This window comes from Homo sapiens, chromosome 4 (genome assembly GCF_000001405.40).
Source record: "Homo sapiens chromosome 4, GRCh38.p14 Primary Assembly".
NCBI classification, from domain to species: Eukaryota; Metazoa; Chordata; class Mammalia; order Primates; family Hominidae; genus Homo; species Homo sapiens.
Genome location: NC_000004.12, coordinates 37,020,805 through 37,028,929, shown reverse-complemented (window position 1 = coordinate 37,028,929; position 8,125 = coordinate 37,020,805).

Genomic DNA, 8,125 nt, shown 5'->3' with positions numbered 1-8,125 from the left:
ATCCATGAGCATGGAATGTTCTTCCATTTGTTTGTGTCCTCTCTTACTTCCCTAAGCAATGGTTTGTAGTTGTCCTTGAAGAGGTCCTTCACATCCCTTGCAAGTTGTATTCCTAGGTATTTTATTCTCTTTGTAGCAATTGTGAATGGGAGTTTGCTCATGATTTGGCTGTTTGTCTATTATTGGCGTATAGGAATGCTTGTGATTTTTGCACATTGATTTTGTATCCTGAGACTTAGCTGAAGTTTCTTCTCAGCTTAACAAGTTTTTGGGCTAAGACAATGGGGTTTTCTAAATATACAATCATGTAATCTGCAAACAGAGATAATTTGACTTCCTATCTTCCTATTCGAATACCCTTTATTTCTTTCTCTTGCCTGATTGCCCTGGCCAGATCTTCCAATACTATGTAGAATAGCAGTGTAACATTTTGTTCACTATGAAAGTGTCTATGTTTTTGCACAACCGTTGCTTAACAAGGTGAGATTGCTTCTTTCTTTCTCATGCATTCTCTGACCTTCCTTGACTCTCTCTCACCATGCCCTATCTCCCCTTCACCCCTTCACATCTGATGCTCTCCTAAATTTTTCATCTATGGCATATTTCTATTTCTTTCATTCTAATTTCTTTGTCAAATTCTATTTCTCTGTTATCTTCCTTGTAGTTTTTATGTTATGATTATTTATATGTGTGTTCAAGACTTAACCTATTAACTCTTTTGGTGCAGAACAAACTTTGATTTGCCTTGAATTTTCATAGTATATAATACTATGCCTTGTACATAGTAAATACTTGGTAAATGCATAGAGACTGATCAAATGACAGTGTTTGAGTGGCAGAGAATACAAGGTAGAAAAACCAGCTGAGCTGACCTAGGAAGTCAGTCAAAAGAAATCTCAGCATAACAAGTGGACAGTGGGCCCAGAAAGTAACAAATGGGAAATTGGAACTTGAAGTTAGTAGGCTGCAAGGAGGTTCTCAGAAAGATGAATGGGCATTCCAATTAATAAATCGAATGACAAATGAGCAGGTTTACAGTAGTGACACAGTGAAGAAATAATATGCTTCTTCTCTCAGTAAGGATAAATACAAATGCCTGGAAGACAAATATGAACTCTAGGAAAAATAACAGCTAACCCTGTCTATAAAGTTAGTGTCCAAGTGTGAGATACATTAAATAAGGCATGATTTTGAGCAAATATTGAAGTATAATTATGGAGAATCATTTGACCAGGATGCTTAGGATCATTACACGTTGATTGCTATGGGAGTGGGTGATATGGGAATAAAGTGAAGGAAATAGAATAGTAGCACGTGAGTTGGCCCTTCATTGAATATTTATGTAGTCATTATACTGTAACTGCTGTTTACTAGTTTTCAGCTCTTAGAATACCTCCACAGAGATAGCATAAATATTTAATTATGATTATAGAACAGAACATAAACGTTAATAGGCATTATAATGTAAAATTAGAGACGCTACTGATGGAAGGTGAGAGGTAATGGGGAGAGATAAAATGTGCACGTAGAGGTGAGGGCTTAATAGAAGGGAGTCAAATGATTACATTTATTGGAATAAAATGGAGGTTAAGTATACTACTTAATTCACAGTAGCTATTGGGTTTCATTATTTGGGAAGCTATAACAAAATGCCATAAACTGATAGCTTTTAAAGACAGAAATTTACTCCCATGATCTCATCACCTTCCAAAGACCCCTCCTCCTTACATCATCACCCTGGGGGTTAGGATTTCAGCATATAAACTCTGAAGGTACATGAACCTCCACACCATAAGAATTACCAAGATGAGAAATAAAAGTATAGAATCAGTGTTTCCAAGGAAGCTCAACAAAGAGCACCTCTTTTCTTCACCTGGATTTGTGAACATTTGTGAAAAATAAGGAGTGGCAAGCAGAAGGCAAAGTGCCATTTCAGTTACTAGTAAGAGCTAAGTGTAGGATGTGTGAGGCCAAATAGGCTTGCTAAGTGAACCACGTGTTGGAAAGATGATTAGTCCAGCCTGCAGTGCTGGATTATTGTAGAACAGGTCTTTCCTCGCTGCAGAGAGCAGCAGAGACCTGGAGAATTCCAATAAAAGAAGGGCAGGATTAGTAGAACTAGGCTGACATGGTTTGGATCTCTGTGCCTGTCCAAATCTCATGTTGAATTGTAATCCCCAATATTGGAAATGGGGCCTGGTGGGAGGTGATTGGGTCCTGGGGGTGGTCCCTCAGGAATGGTTTAGCACCATCCCCCTAGTGCTGTTCTCATGATGGAGTTCTCAAGAGATCTGCTTGTTTAAAAGTGTGTACTCACGCCAGTAATCCCAGCACTTTGGGAGGCTGAGGTGGATGGATCTCCTGAGGTCAGCAGTTTGAGACCAGCCTAGCCAACATGGTGAAACCCCATCTCTACTAAAAATACAAAAATTAGCCAGGCGTGGTGGTGGGGGCCTGTAATCCCAGCTACTGGGGAGGCTGAGGTAGGAGAATCACTTGAAGCTGGGAGGCAGAGGTTGTAGTGAGCCGAGATAGCGCCATTGCCCTCCAGCCTGGGAAAAGAGTGAAACTTCGAAATTCCGTCTCAAAAACAAAGGGTGTAGCACCTCCCCACTCTCTCTCTCCTCCTCCTGCTCCAGCCATGCTCTCGCTTTGCCTTCCGCCATGAGTAAAAGCTCCCTGAGGCCTCCCCGGAAGCAGAAGCTGCTATGCTTCCTGTACAGCCTGCAGAACCGTGAGCCATTAAACCTCTTTTCTTTATCAATTACCCAGTCTCAAGTATTTCTTTACAGCAGTGTGAGAATGAACTAATACACAGGCCCAGATAATTTTTTTCCAAATTTACCAGATATCTCTCTTTACCTTCTCTGGCATAAAATGAGTAAAGACGCAGACAATGACCCAGAGAGCCAGTGGAGCCTCAAGCACATGGAAGGAACAATCAAATACGACAACAAAGGCCTGGTGTGGTGGCTGAGGCCTGTAATCCCAACCTTCTTGAGGCATAATTTACCCCCTACGAAGTTCATTCACCCACTTTAAGTGGACGGCGAGATCTGTTATGTTACAGATGACCTGTGAGTTGGGGGTGAATGTTCCAAAGCTTAATTAAATGGTCCAAACTCAAAAGAGTTTGCATTCTAGCTGGGGAAACAGGCATGATTACAACTACCAAAAATATAACAACATAGATTCTAAATAGAATAAAATATAAAATTCACTGGTAATGCTGGAGTGAAATTTCGAACTTAACAACGCAGGTCCTATTAAATATTTGAATAAGTATCTAGGCTACAATTTTTATTTCCAATTAGGAGTCTTCTGTCTCTTTAAGAGAGAGCAAATAAATCTCAGAGTTTAAATAAGGGGCCAATTCCACTCTTAAAATTACGCATAGGGAAGCACAAGAAATGTACATGAATATCATTTCCATAGAATAACAATTATATTAAGATTTCTTTTATATTTTCCCACAGGCATAGAGAATCACAAATTAGAGGAATAATATATTATGTAAATTTTCTGGTAAAGAGAGAAAATCTTTTGGCATATATTGATTCAGAAACATGAGTAAATGAATCCCTTAGATGATTTTGAAAATCCTTCTTGAGAACTAAAACAAAATCTCCATAAAGAATAACAGAACATCAACACTTAATGATCCCATGCTGATTAGAACTATGTAAATGTACTGAGTGTACATATTGACTATTTTACTATTTAGTATTAAATAGTAGGTTTGGCTGGAGTTTTCTGGGTGATATCACATGTACTATCTCCATTTTGAGAACTGATACTAAACCACAAATATCACAGAGTCTGCAGAACACTAATTTTTTTTTTTTTTGAGATGGAGTCTAGCTCTGTCGCCCAGGCTCTAGTGCAGTGGCACGATCTCAGCTCACTGCAAGCTCCGCCTCCCGGGTTCACGCCATTCTCCTGCCCCAGCCTCCCTAGCAGCTGGGGCTACAGGCGCCCGCCACCTCGCCTGGCTAATTTTTTGTATTTTTAGTAGAGTTGGAGTTTCACCGTGTTAGCCAGGATGGTCTCGATCTCCTGATCTGGTGATCCGCCCACCTCGGCCTCCCAAAGTGCTTGGATTACAGGGGTGAGCCACTGCGCCCGGCCCACTAACTTTTATGTAAACTAATTTCAGCATTTAGCATTATGTAATTTTGGCTGGACTGAATGCTAACTTGTGCTAAAAGGATAATTATCAAAGAGGTAATATGCTTATTGTATTTTCCAATACTTAAATTACATCAAAACCTAAATTTTGTCATGAGTAGCACATAATAAAGATAGCTAAAGTACCAAGTGAGAAATCTGAAAGACTTAACAAATTAGTAGTAAAAAGAAAAAAATTTACCATTTTCAGTACTGTCCCTGAGAACCACACAATCCTTTGCTTCATATATATCATCTCATTTAATTGTCACAGTAGCACTGGAGTAATACGTTTTTTTGTTTCCATTTTACACTTGAGAAAAATGATTTTACATGGTGAATAAATAAACATCCCCAAGTTTACAGAACAATATGTGACAGCCAGGCAGTAAACAGATTTGTCAGCCTGGAGACTATGCTCCTAATTCTTATGCCATTCTGCTTGGGTAAATCATGACTGGAATATTTGGAATTCTATTCAGGATTTTCTAACTTATGGTACATGTTCTTTCTGTGCAAGAGTTACTACCTCCATTTCTGGAAGATGTTTGGCAGCATTCTAATTTCCTTAGAAATTTGCATGTGATGGCAGTTAAAGAAATGTATCTTTAAAAATACACTTGGCTTGTGAACAATTGGATGCAAAAAGTAAATTTGAAGAGGCTCACTTTCCTCTCCAAGGAAGTTACAGAATTACCCCAAGTTGTTGAATGTATTTTGCCAAAGTAGATCCTTGGATGCTTGGTGAAAATGGGATGTATATATATGTCTCACCTGGTGGCCACGTTTGGATATCATCCTCCTAGTTTAAGTGTGAAATAAGTCGTGGAACTGTGGATCATCAGAGCAATTGTTAGATGAGGTGGTCAAAGAAAGGAATGTTTTCCCAAGAGCTGTTCTTCCATCAACCAAACCCCAAACCCCTCCCCAGCCCAGTTCTGCTCCTAGCTGGCTCTCTCCCTTTGACGTTGAAACCTGGATATTGTCTTTTCCTCTGGGTTGTTCTGAGGATTAAAAGAGATCATCTGTGTGAAGTGATGACTCCAGTGCCTGACACATAATAAGAACTCAAGAGCTGTTAGCCATTTTCATAATTACTCATGCTTCTCAAATTGCTTTCATACTGTCTCTTTTAATCCTGATTACAATTCAGTGAGGTAAGCATTCTCATCCCCATTTATCAAATAAGGAACTTGAGGCTCAGCAAAGCTAGGTATAAACTATTAGGTTGGTGTAAAAGTAATTGCAGTTTTGAACTGTGAATTTTAATTCATTATAAGTAGGCTCAAATACATCTTTATTAATCAAAATAGGAACCACTACAATCAACACAGTTTTGCCAAGGAGAAATAAGTTTGTTTATTCCTGTAGCATAAAAATCCATGCTTTGGGATCCGACGAACCCTTGGAAAGCATTTTCTGCATCCTGCTGGTTGTGGAAGCATTTTCCCTGCAAAAAGTTGTTGAGATGCTTGAAGAAGTGGTAGTTGGTTGGCAAGGGGTCAGGTGAATATGGTGGATAAAGCAAAAACTTCCCACCTCAATTTGTTCAACTTTTGAAGTATTGGTGGTGTGACGTGCAGTTGGCTGTTGTAGAGAATTGGGCCCTTTCTGTTGACTAATGCCAACTGCAGGTGTTGCAGTTTTTGGTGCATCTCATTGATGCGCTGAGCGTACTTCTCAGAAGTAATGGTTTTACTGGGATTCAGAAAGCTGTAGTGAATCAGACCGGCAGCAGACCATCAAACAGTGACCATGACCTTTATTGGTGCAAGTTTGGCTTTGGGAAGTGCCTTGGAGTGTCTTCTCGGCCCAACCACTGAGCTGGTCATTGCCATTTATCATATAACATCTACTTTTCCTTGCACATCAGAATCCAACTGAGAAATGGTTCGTTATTGTTGTGTAGAATAAGAGAAGAGGACACTTCAAAACGACAATTTTTTTCATTTTTGGTCAGCTTATCAGACACCCACTTATCGAGCTTTTTCACCTTTCTGATTTGCTTCAAATGCTGAACAACCGTAGAATGGTCGACATTGACTCCTTCAGCAACTTTTCATGCAGTTGTAAGAGCATCAGCTTTGATGATTGCTCTCAATTGGTCACTGTCAACTTCTGATGGCCGGCCACTACGCTCCTCATCTTCAAGGCTCTCGTCTCCTTTGCAAAACTTCTTGAACCACCACTGCACTGTACGTTCGTTAGCAGTTCCTGGGCCAAATGCTTTGTTAATGATGTGAATTGTCTTTGCTGCTTACTTTACGACCCATTTTGAACTCAAATAAGAAAGTCGCTAGAATTTGCTTTTTATCTAACATTGTTTCCGTTGTCTAAAATAAACACAAAATAAACAGCAAGTAATGTCATTAGTGAAAAAATAGAAAGTGAGAAGTGCCCATTAAATGATGTATAACATAAGCACATTTATTTAAGAGTATATTCCAATATCAAATGGCAAATTCCAACAATGCAAAAACTGCAATTACTTTTGCACTCACCTAATAACTCAGCATAGCCAATCCTAAAACCACAATCTTTGAGCAGAGTCTCCCATTTTTCCAACCACATCACAAATGTTCTCAAAGAGACACCAAGCCTTTTTTACTGGTTAAACTCACAGATATGTTATGCTACAACATGCTTTGCTCCAGCCCTCCTCCTTTCACTATGGCTTTGCTCTCTCTGCTGCCTGAATCCATATGAAAGTCTTGGTCCTCTGAGCTACTAAAAAATCCAAGTTGTGGCTTATCTTCATTGGGTTCTGACTGTACCTCTGTCCTTTTAATATCCTTTTTTTGGTTTTTAGAGACAGAGTCTTGCTTGTTGCCCAGGCTGGAGTGCAGTGGTACGATCTTGGCTCACTGCAACCTCCACCTCCTGGGTTCAAGCAGTTCTCCTGTCTCAGACTCCTGAGTAGCTGGGATTACAGGCACCCACAACCACGTCTGGCTAATTTTTGTATTTTTAGTAGATATGGGGTTTCGCCAGGTTGGCCAGGCTGGTCTCAAACTCCTGACCTCAAATGATCCTCCTGCCTTGGCCTCCCAAAGTGCTGGGATTACAGATGTGAGCCACCACACTTGGCCTTTTTTTTAAAGCATTCTTATAACTTCATTTTTTCATATTTTCTAGTAAGTCTCTCATTTCCTTATTTGTCTTTGAAATTTCCTCAGGTCAGTGACTATATCTAACAATTCTTTGATTCTCATACTTACTGATTCAGTCATTCAGTCATTCAACAAATATGCCTACTTGTCTCCTATAAGCCAAGGATATATTTCTAGATAAAGCAGACAAATTCTCTGCTCATATCCTAGCACTTGGGGGAGGATACTAAAAGTAAACAAAGGCACACATGCGTGAATACATACATAAGTAAATTAGAAAAGTATCAGAGGTTTATCAGGGCTATACCAAAAATTAAAACAAGATGCCGTGGTTGTGAATGACTGGGTGGCTGCCATAATTTGGGTGAAGGACCTTCTGAGGTATTGACATCTGATTTGCAAGAAGGAACTTGTGTCATACTCATTTTCATAAACTGAATAATCAATAATCACAAAGTAATGGATTAGGCCTGGAGGAATTGACAATCTGGCTCAAGATATAAAGAATATGTGAACAGTCTTCCTTCTGGCTCTTGTTAGAGGCAAGAAATTTCAGGAAAGTTTTCAAACATTAACCATTTGTTCACTCAAATCAATGTTCTGGAACCAAGGTAATACTTGTAAAAGAATAAAGGTGAAAAGTGATATTTCTATGTATTTATAACTTTAAAGATATTGTCAAAAGGACACACAGAGAAGGAATATATTTGACTTCAAGCAAATGAAAGCAATAGTTTCAACAATTAGTCTATTTTTCTCACTCAGTGAGAAGCCTAGAATTAAGCTAATGATAGAAGCAATAGCTCTGCAGTGTTATCAAGGATTTAGCCTCTTTCTAACTTTCTCCA